At 45.3% G+C, this 26,606-nt stretch overlaps 1 protein-coding gene and 1 long non-coding RNA gene across 2 annotated transcripts, besides 2 other annotated features; one reads left to right on the top strand and one right to left on the bottom strand.

The window, feature by feature from the left end:
- Positions 1 to 1,047: 1,047 nt before the first annotated feature.
- Positions 1,048 to 15,448, top strand: LOC124904728 (uncharacterized). Its single transcript, XR_007067273.1, has 2 exons — positions 1,048 to 1,110; positions 15,351 to 15,448. It is a non-coding gene; the product is annotated as an uncharacterized LOC124904728 (long non-coding RNA).
- Positions 15,449 to 20,011: 4,563 nt separating this feature from the next.
- On the bottom strand, positions 20,012 to 21,513 carry IGFL1 (IGF like family member 1). Its single transcript, NM_198541.2, has 4 exons — positions 21,456 to 21,513; positions 21,094 to 21,147; positions 20,738 to 20,981; positions 20,012 to 20,434 (listed from the first exon to the last, which is right to left on the bottom strand). The coding sequence occupies exons 1-4, from the start codon at positions 21,478 to 21,480 to the stop codon at positions 20,425 to 20,427; spliced, it is 333 nt and encodes a 110-aa protein (NP_940943.1). The 5' UTR covers positions 21,481 to 21,513; the 3' UTR covers positions 20,012 to 20,424.
- Positions 20,966 to 22,165: an enhancer, noted in NCBI's record as "CDK7 strongly-dependent group 2 enhancer chr19:46732347-46733546 (GRCh37/hg19 assembly coordinates)". NCBI's record gives its function as "activates an origin of replication core promoter dependent on BRD2, BRD4, P300/CBP, MED14 and CDK7 cofactors, with strong dependence on CDK7, by STARR-seq in HCT116 cells {active_cell/tissue: HCT116}" and the evidence as "EXISTENCE:reporter gene assay evidence [ECO:0000049][PMID:35650434]".
- Positions 25,457 to 25,657: a silencer, noted in NCBI's record as "peak3520 fragment used in MPRA reporter construct". NCBI's record gives its function as "represses an SCP1 promoter by STARR-seq MPRAs in K562 erythroleukemia cells {active_cell/tissue: K562}" and the evidence as "EXISTENCE:reporter gene assay evidence [ECO:0000049][PMID:32103011]".

Here is a 26,606-nt window from a genome sequence, read left to right as displayed (position 1 = left end):
TGCTGTTAGCAGTTTCTGCCTTCGGTACCTTTGAAGTTTCCTATCATACTCTCATAATTCTCTCTCGTGACTTTAGGGACCCAGGTTTACCATTACTAGTTGTGGCATTTCAAAACGTACTTAACCTCTCTGAGCTACAGTTTCCTCTTTAAGCACAATGAAATGAGGACGTATAAGCATCCAGTAAAGTCAACGTGTTTGTAAATATCATGTAAACTGGGAACCCCACACATATGTTGGGTCATAAAGAAAGTCTCAGCTTGCAGAGGATGAACATTATTAAAAGTAGGTTTTTGAGCCGGTGCTATGGCACATGCTTATAATCCCAGATACTCAGGAGGCTGATGTGGGAGGATCACTTGAGCCCAAGAGTTCAAGTCTAACCTGGGCAACATAGTGAGACCTCATCTCTAAAGAAATGTTCTCTGGGACTTCCAGTTTCCAGTCAAGCATGTAAGAAACTTGGAACTCATCACTCCATCTTAACAGAAAGTGAATACTGAACAAAGAAACAATTAACACTTCTTCTTATATCCATTAGAGGAGTGGGGTCACAGGGCAAACCACTGCCCTAAGATTTGTTGACACAGGCAGGTGGATACAGAGAATCAAAACTACTGCAACAGAAACCCATGACCAGAAACCCCTGTGGGAACCAGTACCAGGATAGGAAAACATGAAGTCTAACGAATGAATTCCTGGAGGCTCAGGGTGGAGCAATCTGAGAATTAAAAATTCCAGGGGGCCCAGTCTAAGGGGAGCCTCTGCACTTTTCTAAGAGTTTTACCTCCAGGAACCCTATGAGGTTCTCACAGTGAATACCGGAGAAAATGTCCTTCATGCCCTGAGTTTTGAGCTGTCTGAGAACATGACAGCCCTGGAACAGGTCCAGTAGCATCCTACTAATGTGTCAATGCTTTTATTTTGTTATGCTTTCTGTGGCTTTTCATGCCCCACCCTTTTTAAGAAACCACTCCTTCTGCACACCTCCCTAAATATGGGTAAGTTCATACCCTATAATAATCTCCTGTGTAAAGTCACTGACCCATTTCCACTGCTGCTCTCTCATCTGCTGCTCTGAAGCCTAAACCATGGTGCCCAGAATCTTCGGTAAGTCATCCCCAGCCCCAAGCTGAGCTAATGCCTAATGTTATCCCTAAGGTACCTCTGAACTTCAAACTTAATTTTCTCTTTTCTGTTTAATTCTCGGTTTCCCACCTCATAATCACCCGTGTCCTCTCTGACTGCATTGCAATCTCTCTCCCCACCTGCAAATTCCAGAAGCTTAACCCTTTCCAGAGCCCTCCCTGCATTTCCTCACCTGCCAAGCCCAGTCCCCAGGACCTACATCCAGAGTCAGTCCCAAAATCCACTGTGAGCTGTTACAGCAACCAAAGAAACTCAGAGACATCATCTTGTGCCCCAATGATCATGATCCGGTGACCCCAGAAACATTGTCATTCTCCTTCTGCTCTCAGCTGATCTTTGTTTTTGAACTCCTGGGCTCAGACTCAGAAGGGACCACAGATGAGAAGGGGTGTGGTGAGCGGAGGGAGAAGAGAGGAGGGAGGATTATAGCACTGTGGATAGGGTTGGGGGCTCCCAGAGGTCCCCTGTCAGCTCATCAGCTCTGACTCTTCCAGATATTGGACTGTGGTTGTGCCAGTTGACACTCCAGAGTGGAGACCAGATCTGCAATCTCTTGGGGCTGTAATAAGGGGATCATCCTGTCCTTGAACAAGACCCAGCTCTGTGGTCCTAACTGCACTTCTGGCCCTGCTTCCAGCACTGCTGACTGGAGCCCCTGGGCTCTCAGCACCAGGCAGTAGTGAGGCTCCATGTCCCAGGAGTGAGGCCTGACTACCCCAGGAGTGTGCTCAAGTAAGGGCAGCCCAGGCGGTGGACAGAGTTTTGTTGTGTGTATTCCATCAAGGTGAGCAATGCCTGCTGTGTTCACTAGCTTCTTTTTGCGCAACCATCAATCTCTCTCTCTCTCTCTCTCCCCCTCCACTGCCCCACTCTCCTCTCTTCCCCTCCCTGTCTTTTCCCTCCTCTCCTTCCTTCTCTTCCTCTCTCAAGTTGAAAGAAGAGTAGCTCAGTCATCTTCCAGAATTGCTTTTTAGCTCCGAGTCACCTGGCTCCACAGCCCCCGACCACTGTATGCCTACTTAGCTGTTCCTCCCCTTCCCCTCTACCCTCACCCTTGGCAACTACCAGTCGGCTTTCCATCTGTATGGATTTACCTATCTGGGACATTTCATATAAATGGAATCACACCATATGTGAACTTTTGTGTCACCTTCTTTTTTTTTACTTTGTTTATTGTTTTCATTGTTACAATTTCTACAATTGTATCCCCATTGTAGAATTTATTAGTATTTCATTCCTTTTTATAACTGAATAAATTCAATTGTATCCATGTATCAGCATTCATTTATCCATTCATCTGTTGATGGACACTTGGGCTGTTGTGAATAGTGCTGTTATGAACATACATATACATGTATTTGCTTGAGAACCTGTTTTCAATTATTTTGGGGTGTACATGTAGGAGTGGAATTGCTGCGCCACATGGTAATTCTGTTTAAGTTTTTGAGGAATTGGCAAACTGTTTTCCACAGAGCCGCATCAATTACATTCCCATCAGCAGTGTATGAGGGCTCACATTTCTCTCCAGATTCTTCAACCTTTGTTATTTTCTATTTTCCTGTTTATTACAGTCATCTGGGTGGGTGCGTATGATATCCTGTGTAGTTTTAATTTGCATTTCCTTAATGAATAATGACGCTGAATATCTTTTCCATGTGCTTATTGGCCATTTGTATTCCTTTTTGAAAAAAGTTTATTCAGATTTTTTCCATGTTTTAATTGGGTTGCTTATTTTATTATTATATAGTTGTAAGAGTTTTAAAATATATTCTGGATACTCATCCCTTATCAAATACATGATTTGCAAACACTTCTCTCATTATGTGGATTGTCTTCATTTCCTTGATGCTTGCAGTGCATAGGTTTTTAATTTTTGATGAGGTCTATTCTTCCTTTTGTCTCTTGTGTTTTTGGTGTAATATCTAAGAAAATATTACCTAACTTGAGGTCATCAAGATTTACTTCCACGTTTTCTGCTAGGAATTTTTTTAGGAAATTGACAAAGAATAATTGTTTATTCACATTGGGTAAAATGTGATGATTTAATGTAGGCTTAACTTGTTGAATGATTAAATCCAGTTAATTACGCTATCTATCACCTCAGGTACTTATAATTTTTTAATTTTGTTTATTTTTTGTTTTTGTAGAGACAGGGTTTCATTGTGTTGACCAGGGTGGCTTGAAACTCCTGGCCTCAAGTGATTCTCCCCACTTGGCCTCCCAAAATGCTGGGATTACAGGCATGAGCTACAGTACCTGGCCCTAAGGATTTTTAACATACAAGATCATGTCATTTGCAAATAGAAACCATTTTACTTCATCTTGCTCAATCTGAATGCATTTTCTCTTCTTGCCTAACTTTCCTGGCTTGAACCTCCAGAGCTATGTTGAATAGAGTGGTAAGAGTGAATATACTTATCCTGTTCCTGATGTTAGGGGGAGAGCATTCAATCTTTCACAATTAAGTATGATGTTAGCTATGAGTTTATTGTAGATGCTCTTTAACAGGTTGAGGAAGCTCTCTTCTGTTCCTAGTTTGTTCTTTGTACTTTATCATGAAAGAGTGTAGATTTTGTCAAATGCTCTTTCAATATCATTTGAGAGAATTACGTGACTTCCTCTATAGTCTAGTAATATGGTATATTATATTGATTGATTTTCTTATGTTGAACCAACTGCATCCCCGGGATAAATCCCACTTGGTCATGATGTATCATTGTTTTTTTTTTTTTTTTTTTTTCGGAGTCTCGCTCTGTCACCCAGACTGGAGTGCAGTGGTACGATCTTGGCTCACTGCAATCTCCACCTCCCGGGTTCAAGCAATTCTCCTGCCTCAGCCTCCCAAGTAGCTGGGACTACAGGAGCGTGCCACCATGCCGGGCTAATTTTTTGTATTTTTAGTAGAGACGAGGTTTCACCATGTTAGCCAGGATGGTCTCGATCTCCCGACCCCGTGATCCACCCACCTTGGCCTCCCAAAGTGCTGGGATTACAGGTGTGAGCCACTGTGCCCGGCTGATATATCATTCTTTATATATGCTGCTGGATTTGGTTTGCTATATTTTGTTGAGGATTTTTGAATTTATATTCATAAGAGATGTTGGTCTGTAGTTTTTTCTTTTTAATTTCTTGTGATATCTTTGATTTTGGTGTTAGGGTAATACAGACCTCAGAGTAAATTGGAAAGTTCTGTTTGACTTTTTTGAAAAGTTTGTGAATGATTGGTATTAATTCTTCTCTAAATGTTTTGTAAATTTTACTGTCTGGGTCTGGAGGGGCATTTCCAGTATATGAGCATTCCCCTTTCTCTGCATCCTTGCCAGCATCTGTTATTCTTTGTCTTTTTGATAAAAGCCATTTTAACCGAAGTGGGACATCTCAGTGTGGTTTTGATTTGCATTTCCCTGATGATAAGTGTTGTTGAACATTTTTTCATATATCCGTTGACTATTTGTATGTCTTCCTTTAATACATGGCTATTCAGACCTCTTGCCCATTTAAAAATCAGATTCTTTATTTTTCCCAGCAATACAATTACATACATATTGTTTCATGCCATGACTTTTAAAACCAGTTAAGGGGAGAAAGGGTAAGAAATAAGCGATTATGCTGTTTTTATAAGTAATTACACAATTACATATAAGCAATAATTATATAACATGCATACAAGTAATAATTACATAATTACATATGAACAATTATACCTTTCTTAGTGCTCTCCAGAGGGTGCAGCCCTAAGCATACGCACTGTCTCTCTAACTACTCCAGATAGTTATGGCATAAGCTGGCCTCTTTTTGACTGTCCTTTCCTTGATGTTTCTGTTAAGCTTCTGGCTTGTCTGCCTCTGTTGGTATCACTTGCATCTGTTAGACTCCTCTTATTGTTAATTGATTGCTCTATTCTTTTTAATAGGCCTATAGCACAATGCATAAATCATTTTGTGGGCTGATTAAAGTCTAGCTTCTTTGCCAAGTCAGAGTGTTGCCAGGGTTTGAGGCTGTCTCTCACTCCAGGAGGGCCCTTCTTAGTTATCTCTTTTTCTGATTATCTCTGTTAAGCTTCTGCCTTGTCTTTTTGTTTGTTGTTGCTACTGCAAGCCCTTTTTTGGTTTTTCAGCACCAAAATTTCCTTTTTTATTTTTTCAATGTCATTAAGCATCAACTTCTCCACACTCTTATTTCAAGTAAAGCCAGTTTTAGGGATACTTGTGGAGCTCTCTGTTCTGATGGCCTCCCTCTCCCCCGGGCAGAACCACTGAGCCGCTGGACTGGAGCTGGTGTCAGGGACAGCAGCTAGCTTCTCCTGCGGTGATGTCTTTCCTCTACAGCTAGAACACTGGGAGGGGGTGGTAGCTGTTCGTCTTCTCGGTTTGCCCTTTCTTGTGTGGAACCTCTGCCCCATGAGTGAACTCAGGCAGGATCAGTGAAGCCCAGTGTGCTTGACCTGCTAAACCTGGCGTGGAACTTCCACGCTAGGAGGAGGGGCTGGATGGGAGAAGGAGCCCCGGTGCTGCAAGCCACAATTTCTAACTAATATAGCACATCCGCAACATGGAGACAGCAGGATAAAAGATGCTGGTGCACTGCCCTTTCTGAACTGAAACTGTAGCCCTAGGCTGGGAGCTGGGGAGAGGTGGAGTCCCATTTTCTTGACTGTGACTGACCATAATAGAGCTTCAATTACAGAGTTGGCTGGGGATGTGGGGAATAGGAGTAATGTGTGGCTTAAATGCCCTCAGACTCTTGCTGCTGTTTACAGATTGAGTATAATGTCTTTTTCTTTTTCTTTCTTTCTTTTTTTTTTTTTTTTTTTTTGAGACAGAGTCTTGCTCTGTCATCAGGCTGGAGTGCTGTGGCGTGATCTTGGCTCACTGCAACCTCTGCCTCCAAGGTTCAAGGGATTCTCCTGCCTCAGCCTCCGAAGTAGCTGGGATTACAGGCATGCGCCACCACACCCGGCTAATTTTGTATTTTTAGTAGAAACGGGGTTTCTCCATGTTGGTCAGGCTGGTCTCGAACTCCCGACCTCAGGTGATCTGCTCTCCTCAGCCTCCCAAAGTGTTGGGATTACAGGTGTGAGCCACCGCACCTGGCTAACAGAATTTCTTGAATAAACATTTCTTCGTTTGCGATATGCCCTAAGGACAATTTCCAGAGACTTAATTAGTTGTTTTTATTAAAAATTTTTTTTCACCAGTTAAATGGTTGTTTTGCTGGGAGGAGGGCGCCCATGCTCTTCACACTGGCTTTTGGAAATCCTGCTTTATAGTTTGAAATCTTTTGCTTTTAAGTCTATGATCCATTTCAAATTAATTTTCACATTTGGTGTGACATAAGGGTCAAGATACATTCCCCCCATATAGATATCTATTAAAAGGACTAATGTCTGCCTGGTGAGTTGTAGTGGTACATTTGTCACAAATCACTGATTGTCTATGTGTGGATCTGTGTCTGAACTCTGTTTTTTTCCATTGATAAATTTGTTTACCTTATACAATACCACACCCTAAATTATTATAATTTCATAAAAATTCCTGATCTGTTAGTGTAAGTCCTATAACTTTGTTTAGTTTCTTCAATATTGTATTGTCATTTTCATTTTCTGTCATTTTCATTTTCTGATCCTTTTTTTTTAAATTTGTGCAAGTAGAGTCAGGGTGTCACTGTGTTGCCCAGGCTAGTCTTGAACTCCTGGGCTCAAGTGATCCTCCTGCCATGGCCTCCCAAAGTGCTAGGATTACATGTGTGAGCCACCACACCTGGCCATCATTTTCTGATAAATTTTAGAATCAGTTTGTTAACTTATACAAAATCTTGCTGTAATATTTGTTGAGTTTGCCTTGAATATATAGATCAATTTGGGGAACATTGACATCTTTATTACATTGAGTCTTCCAAAGCATAAATATGGTTTATTTCCCATTTGTTTAGGTCTTCTCTAACATCTTTCAGCAGAGTTTTGTAGAGGTCTCTCACCTTTCTTTAGATTTAATTCTAGGTATTTGTTATTTTTGATGTCATTGTAAATGGTAATGGAGAATTGACTTCTATCTAGAGCCATAAAACAAACCTCAACAAGTTCTAAAATTTTGAAATTTAACAGAGTGTGTTCTCTGACCATAATTTGATCAAACTAACGATTACAGAAAGATCTCCAAGCACTTGGAAGCTAAGCAACACAACTCTAAATAACTCATGGTTTAAAGATGAGTCTCAAAGATTTTTAAAAGTATATTTAACTTAATGAAATGAAAATACAATATATCAAAATTTGTGGAACATATATAAAGCAGTGCTAAGTGTGAAACTTATTGCACTAAATAGTTGTATTAGAAAAAAGGAACAATCAGGTAAGGCACAGTGGCTCAAGACTGTAATCCCTGCACTTTGGGAGGCCAAGGCAGGTGGATCACCTGGGATCAGGAGTTCAAGACCAGCCTGGCCAACATGGTGAAACCCCATCTCTACCAAAAATACAAAAATTAGCCGGGCATGGTGGCGGGTGCTTGTAGTCCCAGGTACTCGGGAGGCTGAGGCAGGAGAATTGCTGGAACCCAAGAGGCGGAGGTTGCATCGTGCCACTACACTCCAGAATGGGCGACAAGAGTGAAACTCCAAGAAAAAAAGAAAAGAAGAGAAAAGAAAAGACAAGACAAGGAAAGGAAAGAAAAGGAAAGGAAAGGAAAGGAAAGGAAAGGAAAGGAAAGGAAAGGAAAGGAAAGGAAAGGAAAGAAAAGGAAAGGAAAGGAAAGGAAAGGAAAGGAAAGAAAAGGAAAGGAAAGGAAAGGAAAGAAAAGGAAAGAAAGGAAAGAAGGAAGGAAGGAAAGGAAAAATCAATAATCTAAGCTCCCACAGCAAGAACCTAGAAAAAAATAAGAGAGCAAAATAAACCAAAGCAAGGAGAAGGAAGGAAATAATAAAGAGGAAAGCAGGGGTCATGAAAATTGAAAACAGAAAAACAGTATAGAAAATCAATGAAATAAAGAGTTAATTCTTTCAAAATATCAATAATGTATAAATTTTTGGCAAAACTATCAAAAACAGAAGACACAAATTATCAATATCAATAATGAGACAGGAGATAGCACTATAGGTTTTGCAGACACTAAAAGATTAATAATGGAAAACTAGGAATAACTCTACACAATTGGACAACTTAGATTAAATGGACCACCCACTTAAAAGCACAAATGAGCACAACACACCCAATATGAAATATATCATTTTAGTAGCCTTATAACTATTAAGGAAATTGAATTTAGAATTTAAAATATTTCCTAAAAAAGAAATCTCCAAGCCCAGATGGTCGACTTGAGGATCTACCAAATGTTTAAAGGGAAATTAACACCAGTTCTGTACCATCTCATCCAGAGAATAGAATAGGAAGGAATACTTCCCAATTTATTTTGTGAAATCAAATTACTCTGTTACCAAAACCATAAAAAGACAAAGAACAATGACAACAACCAAGCAATAAAACTATAGATGAGTATCCCTCATACAAAAATCCTTGGTTGGGCACGGTGGCTCACGCCTGTAATCCCAGCACTTTGGGAGGCCAAGGCGGGCAGATCACCTGAGGTCAGGAGTTTGAGACCAGCCTGGCCAACATGGTGAAACCTCATCTCTACTGAAAATACAAAAAATTAGCTGGGTGTGGTGGTGCACGCCTGTAATCCCAGCTACTCACGAGGCTGAGGCAGGAGAATCGCTTGAACTCAAGAGGCGGAAGTTGCAGTGAGCCGAGATCACATCACTGCACTCCAGCCTGGGCGAGAGGGAGACTCCATTTTTAAAAAAAAGAAAAATAAATTCTTGACAAAATATTTGTAAATGAAATTCAGCAATATAAAAAATAATTACACACCATGACTATTAGGCTTTATTCTAGAATGTAGGCCTGGCAGAATATTTCAAAAATCACTATCAATGGAATGCACCGTATTAACACGCAAAAGAAGAAAAATAACATGACCACATCAATTGATGCTGAAGAAGCATCTGACAAAATTTAACACCCATTCATGATAAAAACTCTCAGAAAAATAGGAATGGGGGGAACGTCGTTTAGGATTCTAAGAATGTGGTGAAGTTTACCGGTTGGGAAAAGGATGGAGCAGCTGTTAAAGATTAACCATGATTAAGATTAAGGTGATTAGGAAGGAGGAAGGAAGATAAGGAAGACTGGCAAGGAGAGAATAGGGGCACAGAATTGTTTTAGAGATAGGATTGGGCTTGAGTAGGTCTTGTTTTGTTTGCTTGCTTTGTTTTTTGAGACACGGTCTTGCTCTGTTGCCCAGGCAACAGATTTGGCCATTCAGGCAATTGTTTTTTATTGAAATAGCCTGCCTTGTTAACCACATTATTCCTTTATTTAGATGAGTTCATTAGTACATTTTATGTTTCTAGCCCTCTTTCTTAATAACCCAGTTCCATTTAAGCTATTTGGAATGTGAATTCTAAGATGTTTTGAATTCTTATCTCTTCATATGTGACTTCTGATTGAAGACGGCTTTTTTTTTTTTTTTTTTTTTTTTGATGGAGTCTTGCTCTGTCACCAGGCTGGAGTGCTATGGCGCAATCTCAGCTCACTGCAACCTCCACCTCCTGGGTTCAAGCGATTCTCCTGCCTCAGCCTCCCGAGCAGCTGGGACTACAAGCATGCGCCACCACGCCCAGCTAATTTTTTGTATTTCAGTAGAGACAGGGTTTTACCATGTTGGCCAAGATGATCTCGATCTCCTGACCTCGTGATCCACCCGCCTCAGCCTCCCAAAGTGCTGGGATTACAGGCGTGAGCCACTGCGCCCGGCCATTTTTTTTTTTTTTTTTTTTTTGAGATGGAGTCTGGGTCCCTTGCCCAGGCTGGAGTTCAGTGGTTCCATCCCGGCTCACTGCAACCTCTACCTCCTGGGTTCAAGTGATTCTCCTGCCTCATCCTCCCAAGTAGCTGTGATTACAGGCACATGTCACCATGCCCAGCTAGTTTTTGTATTTTTGTAGAGACGGGGTTTCACCATGTCGGCCAGGCTGGTCTCAAACTCCTGACCTCAAGTAATCCACCTGCCTTGGCCTCCCAAAGTGCTGGGATTATAAGCATGAGCCACCGCGACCAGCCTGACTTCTGATTCAAGACGGCTTTCATAACACTTGTTTATCTACCTTAGATTCCTTGCTTAATCATTATAATTACAGCCTGCTGATTTCCATTGTCCTTTGTCTCCCCACTGTTTGGTAAGACTCATTTAGGAAAACCACAGCCTTATCTAAATCCAGTTCTCCACCTATACTCTTCCTACATCTTTGAAACCATATATGGCTAGAGAAAAATACAAAACACATTGACTTGTAGTGAGCCAAGGTGTAGCCTGCCAGTGGTAGAAAAATCTGGCTGCAATGGGCCAGATGGGGAATCAACAGGTATACAGCTTCACTGTAGCGAAAATAGTGTGTAGTAAGAACACAGAACACCTGCTTAGAGCTATATCATTGTTAGATAAATGCCGATAGCAATATTACACGTATTAGTCTGTTCCCATGCTGCTAATAAAGACATAGCTGAGACCAGGGTAATTTATAAAGGAAAGGGGTTTAATGGACTCACAGTTCCACATGGCTGGGGAGGCCGCACAGTCATGGTGGAAGACGAAGGAAGAGCAAAGGTATGTCTTAGGTGGTGGCAGGCAAAGAGAGAAAGAGCCGAGAGAAAGGGGAAACCACGTATAAAGCCATCAGATCTCGCGAGACTTATTCACTACCGCAAGAATAAGTCTTATATGGGGAAACTGCCCCAAGGATTCAATGATCTCCCACCGGGTCCCTCCTACAACATGTGGGAGTTATTGGAGCTACAATTCAAGATGAGATTTTGGTGGGGACACAGTGAAACCATATCATTACACAATGCATAATAATGTTCATGCGCTTCTTAACTGATAACACAGAGTCGGGGAAGCCAGAGGGGATTCCCCTGAGTGTCTCCCTGAGATGCTCGGGGAAGGTGTAATTTACTTATACCTTCCCCAAGTAAAGAGAAGCAGCTGTAAAATGGAGACGACTCCCCAGAATTGCCAGAATTGAATCTTTTCAAATATTTGTATGATGGCTTTCTAATAAAGGGCACCTAGCTGAGATCTTTGCTAACGTCTTGCAATACTTGGTGGAGCAAAAAACATTCCAAATTGATTTCAAGAGTTGTCTGTTTAAGTAGTAGAAATCAAGTGATTAAGCTCATTGTCTGAACATTCTGTGTGGCCACAAGGGAGACACAAGGACTCCATGGCACTGTATGGGAGGTATGAAAACGAAATAGAGATAGCTAAACGACATGCCCAGGGCAGCTCGCCAAGTAGATGCAACCAGAGAGAGCAAGAATCAGAATTTGTACTGAGAAAATGACTGAACTTAGTTAGACTGTACCATTCATGAGAATGACATGGAAATGCACATTCCAGAGTACTGTATCTTGATTTTCCCTGCCTCTATTTTCTGTCGGGGCAAATTAATTCTGAACACAGTTCATGGCTGTCTTCTTTTCCTTAGGCTCAGCATAGCTGTCAACAGTCTCCCACCTTGTAGGGACAGCCTGCTGTTTCTCATATTCCATAGGTCTAATCTATTGTTGACTTACCCAGCCTCTCAAGGAGAAAATGCCAGTGCACTTACTTTATCTTTCGATAACTCCCTTCCTGAACTCCTTATCAATATGAAACTCACCCTGTTGAAAGACCTAGATGGAAGATATTACAAGGAACCAACAGGAAATTCAGGAAAAGTGAGAATTTTTTTTTACCAAATGATAAGTTTTATAAGATAAGAATGAAAAGTAGTTGCTATACAGGTAAAATTGGTGCAAATAATATATTGTTACACCAGAAGGAATTTGATGCTCTGAAAAAATTTAACCAGGAATCTGCTTTGCAAAAAAAACTCAACATTGCATATGATGAAGATTAATGATATAAACACCCTTAATTCAAAAGGTCTTATTTTTGCTTTGGGTTAAGCATGCAGAAATCTGGAGTAGTCCTTGGCAGGGAATGTTCTTGCTGTTGACTCCAGAGATGTGGACTTTGGAAGTAGAAGGCATTAACCTGGCTCTAATTGAATGGTTATATAGTCTAAGGTAGAAGAAATTGTGTAAAGCCTAATGGCCAAAAGTGGCAAATTGTCCTGATTATCAAGGGGGGAATTGGGTAGCTACCACACAATGGGCAGAAGAGAGTATAACTATACCACTCACACAAGGCATTCTGTGGGATGCCTCTTAGAACTCCCACGTCCCATAGTAAAACATGGGAAAACTATAACAATTCATTACAGAAAAGACTCCTAATGGCATATATACTTCAAGAATGAAGACGTGGGTAATTTCACCAGGTTAAAAATCACAACCAGAGCAAAGCAAAGTCCTCTGTGAATATACAAGGAGGCCACAAGAATAAATAAAGAATAGCATGGCTGGAGGGAATAGACACAGAGAAGGGGTTGGACTACCAATCTGGGAAGTGGCAAGGGAAACTGAGTTGCTCACAATATCCTCTATTCACCTTATCTTTTTCATATATGGAGTTGTAGAGAAATCATATCTACAACAAGAGAGGGATGTAAAACAATTCTATTAAAGAGAGAACTAGGCTGCAGTTGGGACAAGAAAATGTTGGGAATTACTAGGGAGATACTTAGACAATGCATGGGAGGCCTACTTAAGATGGAAATGAGGTTTCAGGTGATAAAGTGGAAAAAAATTCAAAAAATGGCAGCACTCTAAGCAAGTTAAGGAGAACATCTGATGCAAGAGGTTGGTTTGTGGAAGGAGACAGAAAGACAGTGAATCAACTGAACTTAAACTAATGGTACTGCATGTAAAACTTGAAGACTGAGTTCAAGGTCCCAATGAATATACATTTTTTTTTTTTTGAGATGGAGTCTCGCTCTGTCACCCAGGCTGGAGAGCAGTGGCTCGATCTCGGCTCACTGCAACCTCCGCCTCCCAGGTTCAAGCGATTCTCCTGCCTCAGCCTCCCGAATAGCTGGGACTACAGGCACGTGCCACCATGCCCAGCTAATTTTTGTATTTTTAGTAGAGATGGGGTTTCACCATGTTGGCCAAGATGGTCTCGATCTCATGACCTCGTGATCCGCCCACCTCGGCCTCCCAAAGTGCAAATATAAATTTTAATTATGTACTGAGTTTGGAGTTTATAGACCCTAAACTGCATTCTAACAATGGAATGATTGATTTTTTCGGGGAGAGAGGGAGAGGGTGATTCATGTAAGGATGAAGAGAAGACAATATAGTCATTAAAAAACAAAAAAAAAAAATCACAATCAGATGAGGTGGTTGCTGAGAGCAAAGAGATTATAGAATGGAGTGAAAAACATTTTTTTTTCGGGTGGAGTTTTGCTATGTTGCCCAGGCTGGTCTTGAAATCCTGAACTCAAGTGAGCCTCCTACCTCAGCCACCTGAGTCGTGGGAATTACAAGCATGTGCCACTGTGTCTGGCTTGAAAGAGGAAATTTTTAAATGCCAGCTTTAGCCTCTAGGCCAGCTGCTGAAACAAGGACTAAGTTGGACTTTTATATAATCTTCCTCACTTTGAGGTGAACATATTTTATTTATTTTTTTCTTTTTTTCAGACAGGGTCTCACTCTGTCATGCAGACAGGAGTGCAGAGGCGTGATCTCGGCTCACTGCAACCTTTACCTTCGAGGCTCAAGTGATCCACCCGCCTCAGCCCCCTGAGTAGCTGGGACTACAGGCGTGTACCACCATGCCTGGCTAATTTCTTTTTTTATTTTTTGGAGAGATGGGGTTTCACCGTGTTGCCCAGGTTGGTCTCGAACTCCTGGACTCAAGCGATCCTTCTGCCTTGGCCTCCCAAAGTGCTGGGATTACAGACATGAGCCAACATGCCTGGCCTATGTGAATATTTTCTATGTTAACTGATTCCGTTGCTGTTTGTCTCAATGCCTTCATACTCCTCTATCAAGTATTGGTTTATATTGTTTGATTCTTGGTATTTACAGTATGAAATAGTAAGAGAGGTTGTTAATCATCTGGGAGATGGACAATGCATTTTCAAACCCCTCTTCTCTAGAGAAGATTAAAAGTCTTTGGGTGGTAAAACTGATAGTTGCATCACATTACTTGGAAAATGGTATTGTTGCTGCCTTTATTTTGAAGTTGAAAATGGCTATAATGGGTGTCAATACATGCTTATCTTTGAATGGGGTGGACTGTGCTAGACTTTCTATTATCACCTTGTCCCCAACACCCACTCCCTTCTGAGATGGGAACCACATTTTCCAGAATCACTTCCCCTATATGGGGCCCAGAAGGTGAATTGCATGATGTGAAAAATTCAGGGATAATGGGCACTATCATCATGTCCTCATGCAATTCACGTTCTGACCCCTCATAAAGCGACTACATTAGTCCATTTGCATTGCTAGAAAGAAATACCAAGGCTGGGTAATTTATAAAGAAAAGAGATTTAATTGGCTCGTGGTTCTATAAGCTGTATACAGGAAGCATGGTGCCTGCATCTGCTTCTAGTGAGGGCCTCAGGAAGCTTACAATTATGGCAGAAGGCAAAGGAAGAGCAGGCATGTCACATGGCAAGACAGGGAGCAAGAGAAATGTCAGACTCTTGTTACCAGCTCTTGCACAAACCAACAGGGTGAGAACTCACTTATTACTATGGGGAGGGCACCAAGCCATTTGTGAGGAATCTCCTCCCATGACCAAAACACCTCCCCAGGCCTCACCTCCAACATTGGAGATCACATTTTAACATGAGAGTTGGAGGGGACAAACATCCAAACTGTATCACAGACAAGGGCAGGTATTTGTAAGTTTTCAAAACCAGAGCTAGACTGTGCCCCAACCACAGATGCTGTGCCAGATGTTGTATCTTTATTGGGGCAAATCAAAACAGTGTTTGATCCTTGGTAGGCAATTATTGATCTGGCAAATGTGTTCTTACCAAAACCCTTCAGTAGGAGTGGAATTCTGCTTCCAGAAAGACGAGGTAGGCATATGTTTCCATATCTCTCCTGCTCAGTACAGCTATAAAACAAGCATAAGAAGACTCAGAAAGGTAGGGTAAGAAGGCAGACGAAGGGAGGACCTTGGGACCACAGAAATGGCAGAGCAGGGAGTTTCCCTGAGTTTTCTTTTTTGCCTCATATATCCTAGATGCAACTCATGAGAAGCTGGAGGACCTGGAGAAGCTGGCAACTCAAAAAGGCCAAAGGGTGCAGACAATAAAAGCCCCAGACAAGCGTATAGAACCACACGCCGTCTTTTTACTTGCCGTAAGTGTCATATTTTTCTTCTTTAATGTCACATAAGAGCAATATTTCCTTCAGGTATCTAATCACAAGAACCACTGCAAATTCTAGATCCATGAGATCAGTCTTTCTGTGGAGAATTCATGTAGAGATCCCTGATCACACACTTGTCAAATAGAAAGTTTCCCAGAAAATCAGATACCATGTGTTATGAAAGAAAAGAAAGTATCTAGTCACTAAACACCTAGTTTAGAATAAAACGCCAAACACCCAGTTTAGAATAATTTCCCAAAAAGTGTTTTCCTAAAGTAACTGAAATTTTGAAAATTGTATGAGGAGAAAGTACATTTGATTTCTTCCTTTCTCTGACTCTTGCATCCTTCATTTTCCTTCTGCCTGTGTTAATCCCCCAGGACTGCCATAATCAAGGGCACCAGAGGGGTGGCTTGAACAGGAGAAATTCAGTTCCTCACAGTTCTGGAAGCCAGAAGTATGAGATCAAGGTGTTGGCAGGATGGTTTCTTCTGAGGGTCTATCTCTTGGCTTATCCATGGCCAACTCCTCCCTGTGTCTTCACATGGCCTCTGTGTGTGTGTCTGTGCCCTAATATCCTCTTCTTATAGGGACACCAGTCAGCTTGGATTAGGTCCTGCTCATATGACCTCATTTTACCGTAATCGCCTTTTCAAAGACCTTATCTCCAAATACAGTTATATTCAGAGATACTGGGGTTAGGACTTCAACACATGAATTTTGCGGGAGACATAGGTCATCCCATATTAATGCCCAAACAAAATTTATTACTTCACATAGTCATGCCCCAAATGAAAATTAAACAACCCAAAATTAAATAGAATTTTTAAATTTCATCATTTCTTTATTATTATTATTATTATTTTTTGAGATGGAGTCTCACTCTGTTGCCCAGGCTGGAGGACAGTGGCATGATCTCAGCTCACTACCAGCGCCACCTCCTGGGTTCATGCCATTCTCCTGCCTCAGCTCCTGAGTAGCTGGGACTACAGGCGCCCGCCACCACACCCGGCTCCTTTTTTGTATTTTTAGTAGAGACGGGGTTTCACCATGTTAGCCAGAATGGTCTTGATCTCCTGACCTCGTGATCTGCCTGCCTCAGCCTCCCAAAGTACTGGGATTACAGGCATGAGCCACCATGCCCAGCCGATTTCTTTGTTTCTTTTTTTTTTTTTTACTATTAATGTTATTTTTTATGAGAGAGAGCACGCCAAGTATTGCTATAAATATTAGGATTAATTCTATTGATGTGCTTCATGATCATGTATATTTTATGAAGATTTATTAGATCAAAAATTACAAGATTTATCTTAAAGTAATCACTCTTATATTAACTGTATATTTTAGCACTGTTTTTATCTATTGGAATATTTTCATAGCTATAGTTATTAAAATTCACCATAATCATTAATTAGAGCCATAATTACACTTTTATAATAAATATACATTTATACTTTAACCGATGGATAAAACATCAACCTAAATATCCAAAAGGAAATTTTTAATCAAGTGACTTCTAGGAGGGTGTCTGTTCTGACGGTGGCTATTCAGGAACAAAGAGCAAATCTGAAGAAAAGGCCTGGTTCCCACTCTGGCCACACCTGTTGCCACACTGATGGGATGTGCTGATCACAGCAAGATCACAGTCAGGATAAGTGTGGGGCCAGCAATGGCCTTGCTCAAGGCACTTTGTGCTTAGGACACGTGACAGCCTGTGTGGTGTGTGTGTGTGTGTGTGTGCGTGTGTGTGTGTGTGTGTTTGCTTCTGTTTTTCTGTGGGTAAATACATGACCCAGAAATTTCTCAAAATAAGTTTATTCTTACTACATAAGATCCACTCCATCACAGCTCTTTGTGTTCTGCTTTCTTGTTTATTGGATACCTCTTCAGGCCCAGGGCGGCTCATGGAGGAGACAGGGACTCTCCCCAGGTCGAAGGCCCAAGGCCTGGATGATGGGGTGGGGCCCAGGATGGGTGCCAGGGGTCTGGAGGACATGAGTGGATGAAGGCCCCGGGCTTCAGCTTCCTCTTGGTGGAATGTGGGTGATGAGGTCCGACCATGCAGCGCTGCTGTGAGGACCGGATGAGAGGATCCCTGGGAGGTGGCCGGTGACTTGGTACCGTCACCTCAGTGACTGTTCTTCGTCCTCATGGATGTTCAGAGAAGACTTGCCCACTCTCTCCACCAGATACAACCAATAAAACCTCTGAAAATTTCAGCCGAACTTTATAGCACTTTCATTCTTTTCCAATTTATTTGACGCTATTTAAATCAGACCTAGTGATTCTGGGATGCCTGAGATTCCTGTCCCTTAGAAGGGACGTCAGGTGCCTTCTGTGCGCACACGTGGCATTTGGGCGGGAACCCAGAGCCCCGACTCTGGGCTTGTTGGACTGAGATCCAAGGAGGGATTCACTACATTGGTGTAAGGTGCGGTCTGTGTTTCAGATTCTTGTGCCAGATGAGGTGATGCTTTGATGTCAATACCTCGTGTTGGGGGAAGGTTGGGGATCTGGACCAGTGGTCTAGGGGGCCTGTATGGGGCAGGACCCAGACACCTGAGGATTCCAGGTTTAAGAAGGGCGGGGCTGAGCGAGGCCTCTCGGCGCGTGTAGGTGCCTTGGGCACCTACATCCTGCTGTGCGGCTTCAGTGGGGGCGTCCAGGGCGGGGTCTGAGCTGGGAGACCCGCCTCTCTCCTGCTCTCACGGAGTCACTTAAAACTTTTTAGTTTTCCACTTAAATGACCAAATGAGATCATTTCATGGGGTGGTGGGGGGAGTGCAGGCAAGGAGAGTCACATGTGGACAGGGTGAAGGTTTAGGACGCTCACTGTGGAGGATGAGGAAGCAGCCACCCCGTGGGTGGGGTGGGTCTGTCGCTTTCTAGGCGCCAGCACAGCTCTCACGCCCTGCAGAATCCTAGCATGGGGAGGCAGAGCTCACCCAGCATTGGGTGTGCTCCCACTGATAGGCCCTGAGCTAGGGTTAGGCCTGTGAGACAGGGCATTTGCCCTGTGATGCCAGATTGCTGCCATGGTGATGTGCCGGGTCCAGAGTTCCCGCACGTGCAGACACCTGGCCACCGGGCCCGTCTGGGGCCACTGAGGCGAGGCTGCCAACTGTGGGGCGATGATGGAACCCTTTGAGTCAGAATCTGCCCAGGGAAGCCATCGGGCAGTCCGGGAGCCTGGGTTGGCCTCGGATGACTGAGGCCCAGGGACGCAGGCCCTGTGCAGACCCCCTGGCCCTGAGAAACAGGACCCAGAAAGGTGGTGGCTTCTTTGACTTTGGGGAATCCAGGTTGGTGGAGACCCTAGGGCTGAACGCTCCCTAAGGAACCTGCTTCTGGGTTGGGTAAGCAGCAGCGTGGCCCCCTCCCTGCGATCTATTCCACATCAGCACTGGCCACGAGGGTTTGTCCCTGGCACAGGGCCTGAAGAATGTGCTTCAGGTGCCTTGGCCAGCCTTTGCTTCCTCCTTCCAAACCCGAGGGCTCCTCCATAGCCCACATCCTCCACACCCCGCCCCACCCACTCCCTCTCAGGCTCCAGCTTTGGCCCAAAGTCAGACTAAGTGTGGCATCTCTGGGCGTTGGACCTGCCCAGTGGGTTTTCCACGATCCCAGGGGACGCGTGCCTGGGATGGGTGTGTGGCAGATCAGGTTTCTGTTAGCGACCAGAAGAGTCAGTTTCCACTAAACTTTATTTTTGATGAATGCATACCTTAAACATTATAGAACTGGATAAACTAGTGCCTGGGGATGAGGGCGGGAATGAGAAAACAAGCCCATTAAAACCCCAGCTGGGTTTTCTCAGACCCTAAAATCTGATCAAATAATAATAGCATTCTTCCACATATTCCTCATACTGGGGTCCATTTAAGATTAAGAAACTTTCCAAGACTCTGGAGAAAGCTTTCCAGACCCTGGACACTAGTTAAAGATTAGATATTGATAAGAATGAAACACGCTGTCTTGCAGGTGCACTCCGCACATAGGCGTGGAGCTTAGAATGCATATAAGCACTAGAAAAAGAAGTTTGTAGCTTTGAGTTGGTCTGGTAAGCTACTCTGACCTTCTCCCCATAGCCAGTTGGAGAAAGAACCTCCGTTCTTTCCCAGTCTGTCTGCATCTCCTTAACGTACATCAAGAACAAACAGCCGGGTCCTGTTCTGTCCCAGAACTGGTGGGAGAGGGAGTGCCTCTCCGAAGCCCTCTCGCGATCCCCACCTCCTCCCCACCCCACCTGGGCTGCTCCCGATGTTGTGACTGGGTTCAGGGAGCCATGGGGTGGTGGAGGCTGGTGTAGGAGGGTGGCCCCTGTCCCAGGTGCGGCCAGGGTCCTAGTCACCGAGCACAAATAACAAAATAATAAATTTAAAAATAAATGGAAAAAGAGAAAATAAGTGTGTGCACGAACAGAACAAATGGAAAGGCCCAGATGCCTCAGGGTGACAGAGAGAAGGGGCCCCACGTCACCCTCTGTGACCCCTTTCAACAGTCCAAGCTCTCTAATTCATGAATTCTACAGCATTCATTTATAAAGTACATAAATTTATTATGATCCTGTGCTTTGCTCCTGGATAGAAGAGAACTTGAGATGATGGAAAATCTCACAGAAGGGTGAAGGGTTCCCCAGCCAGCCTTGGGGTGGTGCCGGGTTGATGTTGGCCATAGGGGTCATCAGGAGGGTTCAGAGTCCCTGGGCCCCCATCAGCACACGCATCTCATGCTGTCCAGAATTCTAGAAGGGGACCTGTGGGCCTCCTCAGGGCAGCTGCAGGGTGGGCCTCAGACAGGTCACAGAATGAAGTGGGCAGTTGAGTGTGTGTTTCTCTGGCCCCCAAACAGCCACTCAGCATCCCAGATCTCAGGTAACACCAGCCTCTTTCTCCAGGCCCACCCAGGAAGGAGAATCCAGGAGTCATCGTTCCCCTGATGTTCCATTAGCTGACACTGGAGATAGTGACAGAGAGAGACACTGAGCGGGACAGAGATGGCCAGAGATGGGGGCGAGACTGAACATGGGCAGAAATGAGGACAGGAGAGCCAGGAGGAGAGGACAGCGGGGTAGAGAGAGTGAGATTCTGAGAGGGAAATAAAAATGGATGGAGACACAGGTGTAGGGAAAGGGAGAGGTGGATTGAATAGAAGCAGGGGGCAGAGACAGGGAGACAAGGAGAATGGGGGCTCCACCCAGGGCAGAACAGGCATGCAGCTACCCTGCACCCACAATCCCACGGAGGGGACAGGACTCACCTGCGACAAAGCCTGTCATCCGAGGTCCGGGCTGAGTCGCAGTTCTGGTTTATCAGCTTCACCATGAAGGTCCAGGGGCAGCACTGCTCAAAGCAGACTCTGAAGGTGCAGTTTCCACACGTCTGGGTCCTGGCCAAGGGCACGACGGCATCATCATAGCAACAGTGCTGCAGGGGGTCGTAGAACTTGTCCCCACATCTCTTGTGTGGCTGGCACAGCATCAGGTAAGGAGTCATGGGGGCCACTGGAGGAGACAGAGCTGGTGAGATCCAGGAGGTAGTGGCAGGTGGGTCCCAGCCTGGGGTCCCCTGGAAGGTGTACCCCTCCTCCAGCTTCCCAAACACTCCTGGGCTCACCTGGGGCTCCGTGTGAGCAGAGGAGCCTGGAGATGCAGAAAATGGCAAAGACAGCTGTGGGAAAGGGAAAGGGAAGATGGGGTGAGTGGACAGCCACAGATATGACTGGCACTGACATTTAGAAGAAGACTGGGTGGAACCAGGGCTCGGTATGGCTTTGAGCAGCTCAGGGACTGAAACAGGGCTGTGGATGGGGCTGATCTGGGCACTATGGATGGGGAATTGCTGTGAGCAATTCACGCCTGGAGATTTGGCTGGGCATGGGAACAGGGATGAGGTGTAGTTTGGGGTAGGGAGAGAGCCCTGGTGGTGGCTGAGATTGGAGATGGGCTCAGGTGGGAATGGGGTCCTGTCCTCCTTACCTACGATGCAGCCTCGGGGAGCCATGGCTCTGGGTGGTTGCAGTGGAGTGAGGAGGGGATCAGCAGATCTCAGCCACTCCTTTTATCCCATATTTCTAGTGGAGCTGGTGATGTCATGGCATTTCCTGCCCTCCTGCAAGTCCTGCAGAGACAGGCTGGGTCCTTGGGCAGGAGAGGTGCCAGGCAGGGTACGTGTCATTGTAGCTTTGATCTCACCTTTGTAATCAGGAGAGAAGCGGTACACCCTCCACCTTCTCTGTGCTATGTGCCCCAATCGTCCCCCACACTGAGTCCTCTGGAAAATAGGAAGGTTCAGGATGCTCCTGGCATTAACACTCTCCGACACTCACATGTCCACACAGCGATTCCACAGGATCCTACTGAGCTATGACTTTCCTCAGTTTCCTTGGGACATTGCTAACCCATGACATCATTTCAAAGGGTCCCATTAGGTCCCAACCTCACAACCGAAACACATGGTCAAGAATCCAGTAACTTCTCAGTCACCTGCAGCTCATGGCATTCAGGTGGGAGAGACTGTGTGACTCAGGCACCTGACTTTCACAGGTTTGGAAGGTGGGAGTGGAGCTGGCGGGACCCCTGGGACTCAACACTCCTCTGGGGGCTCTTCATCTCCTTCTCTGTCTCATTAATGGTCATTTACCCAGGACAGGTCCACTTGGGAGCCTACATGTCCCAGGCTTCGTGTCAGACACCAGTGATGCAGTGCTGAGTAGAAAACGCAAAGTCAGTGTCTTCGTGACGTTCATGACAGTGAGAGGAGAGAGAGAGAGAGAGAAGGTAGGAGAATAAAACTCCTGATTTTGGTTATTGTCGTTCTTGTGTTTGGTGTCATTATCACTGTGAAGTTCTGGTGGAGAAATTCCACATCCCCCCCTGAGATTCTCAAAGGTGTTTTTCCTTAATGTGCTTTTTCAGAGGGTTGGGTTGTGATTTTCCCTGAGAAGAGCCATCTTGGGGTCAGGATGTGAGGACAGAGGGGAAGGAGCTGTTTTGGGTCAGTTCTGTGCCCCCCTACCCCTGCCCAGCTTCTGCAGGAATTCCTCCGCTCAAGCTCACAGGCCACACATGGCATGGACAAGCCGTTCTCCTCCGGGCCAGGCAAGGTGACCTGTCACCCTCTAGGCACCATGGCTGGCTCCTAGCAGGGCATGGATGTGGTTAGATTTGTGTGTGTGGAAGATCCTGCATCTGTGTTCCTGGGGAGCACGGATAGGGGCTTCTCTCTGGAGGCAGGAGACACAGGAAGAGGCTGCAGAGAAATGACTTCAATAAATACCAGAGTGCTCAGCACCCACCTTCTCCCTCGACAGAGCAGACCCTGCTTCCAGCACCATCTCCCTGTCTGCTCCCTTGGCCTCTGTTCCTTGCTGCTGTGGGGTACAGCAGTGTTTTCTAGGACACAGATTAGGATGTGCTAGTAGCATGGAAAATCAATTTACTTGGGCATAAACAATGTTATTTTTAAGTGAAGAAATGGGTTAGAAAATGGGACAGTGTGCATTCAACAGAATGCTGTGCTCAACTGTTTATGACACTTTAAAAAAAATTATTTATTTTTTTGAGATGAAGCCTTGTTCAGTTGCCCAGGCTGGAGTGCAGTTGCACGATCTTGGCTCACTGCAACCTCTGCCTGCCAGGTTCAAGTGATTCTCCTGCCTCAGTCTCTGAGTAGCTGGGATTACAGATGCCCGCCAACACACCCGGCTAATTTGTGTATTCTCCATAGAGATGGGGTTTTACCGTATTTGCCAGGCTGGTCTTGAACTTCTGACCGCAAGTGATCTGCTCACCTCAGCCTCCCAAAGTGCTGTGATTACAGGTGTGAGCCACTGCGCCCAGCCTGTTTAGGACCCTCTTATTGGGACTGTGTATATTCCAAGTAATGATAGAATATTATTATATTGTTCTATCGTATGATATTATTATATGATAGCATAGCACATATCTAGAACTAGATATCTAGTTTCTGGAGGGAGTCACAGCCAAATGGTGAGGACACTTGGGAGCACAGAAGCCTCCAGGATCATCTCCTTCTTCTCTAAGAGCCACTGACATGTCTCCCCTTTGATGTCTTCCATAAAGGGGTAGAGTTCTCAGGTCCTTGGTTCCAGGCATTTTCTGGGAGGCTGCAGTGGAGCCCTGCACTGGTCTTACTGTCTCTACCAAGAAGAGGCAAGGCTGCCTGCATATGAGCCAGAGTGAGAGAGTGGAGCACCTTCCCCAGGGCAGGGGCAAGGTGGGCACCTCTGAGGAGGGAGGAGTCCAGCTGCTCCTTCCTGGCCTCTCAGAGCAGCTGAGTCAATGCAGCATCTGGAAGGTAGAGGGAGATTTTAGCAGATCATGGAGGCCTCGGAGGCTGGGACAGTGTGAGGCCAGTGGGCACCCGTCCAGGGCTCCCTGGACACTAAGAGCCCCCAATTAGACATGAGGAGGCTTTAGGGTCAGTCAGCCCTGCGTTCAAACCCTGTCCCTGCACCTTCCTAAGGTGTCAGAAGAGTCTGTGCACACAGCCATGTCCAATCCCGCCACCAATCCCTCGGAGTCCCCCTTCCTAACATGCCCACTCTGGAGCGTCCACGTCTGGGCATGGGTCTGTCTTCTGCCTGGGGACCCAGATGTGTGAGGTGGGACCAGGATTTCCCAGTGGAAGCCTGTCCTCAAGTGTCTGGAGAAGATCCCAGGTGTCTGGACAGTAAATGTAAACCCTGACCTCAAACGACCATCACCATCATTCTCTCACCCACTTCCTGGATCCAAGCAGGACACGGGCTGAGGTTCTGCTGCTGGTTGTCAGTGACACAGGCTGGGCCAGGACCCAGGTCTCCTGACCTCCTACCCAAGGGCTGCCAAACTCCCTAGGCCTGGCCCCTCTGGGAAGGGCAGGAAGGCTCTGTTCACAGACACTCCTGGAAGACACCCAGGTCTGATGTTCCCAGGGCTCCCGGGCAGGGCTGGCAGATCTTGGCTTCTGGAATGTGAAACCCCGGAGGACGCTGGCATTTCCCGCTGTCAGCAGCTCCCCCACTGCTTGCCCTTTTACGCCAGGAAAAAATAGGAATCTCCCTCCTGGCAGCTTTGGAGTGGCCTTTCCATCTGCCCTCAGGGAAGCCCTGCTAGGAAACAGGTGGGAATGAGGTGGAATTTCAGGTGTGCAGGTATGTAGAAGGAAGGCCGGGTTTCCCCAGGCCGGAGGCCCCTCTGCTGCTGGCTGACAAGGACGGGTCTGTGTGAGTCATTTTCTCCAAACACAATGTTGGGATTTCAGAAGCTCCCTGCAAGGGGGGTTTCTGTTGACCAAAGCCTGATCCCTGCTCTGGCAGGATCCTTCGTATGATGCAGACCAGTGAATTAAGAGCCTCCATGTCATAGGAGGGGCTGGAGGAGAGGCCCCAGGGTTTGCCACCAGGAATGAAGCTAGAACAATTAAGATCCGGATGCCAGTTCTGTGGCTAGAATAGTGTCTCAGCAATTCAGGGCCATCACCTGGACATGAGATGTTCCTGTGGCTACACCGAGAGACACAATGGCTGCGCTGCCCAGAGATTCAAATGCATCCAGAACCCCAGCTACAAGGTCCTCTGGGAAGGAAAGTGTGAAGCTTCCAGCCTCTGCAGGCAGAAGGTCCTGAAGATGTAGGCTGGATTCCAAGTGTCCACACCCACATCCTGCACACCCTCCCTGGTTCTCACTGCCCTTGGCTTAACACAGCTAATTGGGAGAGCCACAGCGTCACCCCTGCTTCTGCACCCAATACCCCATCCTTCTTCATTCTTCTTCTTTTACTTAAATGTCACCCATCCTCTGAAATCTTCTCGAGCATCAAGGCTGAGGTCAGTCACCTGTTACCTCCTGATAGCACTGTGGTTGTCATCTGCCATGCCCTCACCACAGTTCTTTGTGGCTTTTCTGTTAAGGCAGACACCCAAAAATCAGGTCTCTGCTGTGGTTTCTGATCATCAGCAGGAAGTGAACAAGTCTTTTCAGTGACCAAATTGATCGAAGGCTTTATTTTTAGTTGAACCAGAGCAGACCATTCAGCACCAGAGGTCTGGACAGTTCTTTTTGTTCTCCCGCCAACACTCTCCACCAGTTAAATACACATTTTTGCTTAACTTTTCATGTGTGTATGTGTGTGTGTTTTCAAGTGTGCAATTCAGTGGCATTTCACAATATTTCGCAATTGTCCGTGATAATCTGAGCAAAAAACTTTATAATTATTTCCAGACTCTCAAATACATTATGACCCCAGGACAGTTAAGACCACAGAACCTCCTCTGTGAAAAGGTTTTTCCTCCTCTGCTCTACAGGAATTTAATCTCCTTCCTGTGTGAATGAATGTGCTTGTTCTGAGGAGAAGGAAGGAGGGTTCCTCTGAAAAAAGTCATTTGGGATCCAAATTTGGAGATGTTCCCTTTAGGGAGGCTGACACACTCTTGTCAATTTTTGCTTTCCCTTTTCTTTGTGATTGTGTGTAACCCACGTGATGAAGTCACAACTATTTTTCCTAGTAGTTTCAGCCAAGGGATTTATAAACGTAGTAAGCTGGAAGGCTCTGAGTCTCACCCGTCCCTACCCTCTCCTAGCAGGTGGTTGATGCTGTTGGCAGCCTGGGCTCCTGCAGCCCTGCATGTGGCTGTGTCCTGTGTTAGGAGGGCTAAGCGGGGAAAAGGTGGGCTGTGGAGTCCAGCTTTAGAGCGTCCCCCATGCATCTGACTCTGTAGGGCACAGCTGAGAAGCAGCTTCACAGGGAAGCCCTGGGGCTGTCTGGAAGACAGGGAGGTTTGGAGACCTGCAGGCAACAAGTCTCACCAAGTCACCATGACAGGACAGACAGGTTGAGTGAGACACACCCTGAACATAGGGCTTTCATCGTCAATTCACTTTTTTCATTCATTCATTTAATACACCCTGTGCACTTCCTCTGTGCTAGTGGATTCTATGGCCACAGTTGTGACTTAGTTCCAGGTCCTGCCCTCCTGGTTTTCATAGTCCAGGGAGGACAGAGACACCTCTCCAAACAGTGATGACCCAGGATGAGCAAGGCTGGGAGCAGTGCCCAGGGCACCAGAAATGGCTTCCTGGAGGAGGGCACCAGGAGACAATCATTGGATGGCTCTGGCTTTCCCA

This window comes from Homo sapiens, chromosome 19 (assembly GCF_000001405.40).
Source record: "Homo sapiens chromosome 19, GRCh38.p14 Primary Assembly".
In the NCBI taxonomy this organism is placed as follows: Eukaryota; Metazoa; Chordata; class Mammalia; order Primates; family Hominidae; genus Homo; species Homo sapiens.
The sequence above is the reverse complement of the archived record's forward strand: the minus strand, read 5'-3'. Positions and strand labels throughout refer to the sequence as shown.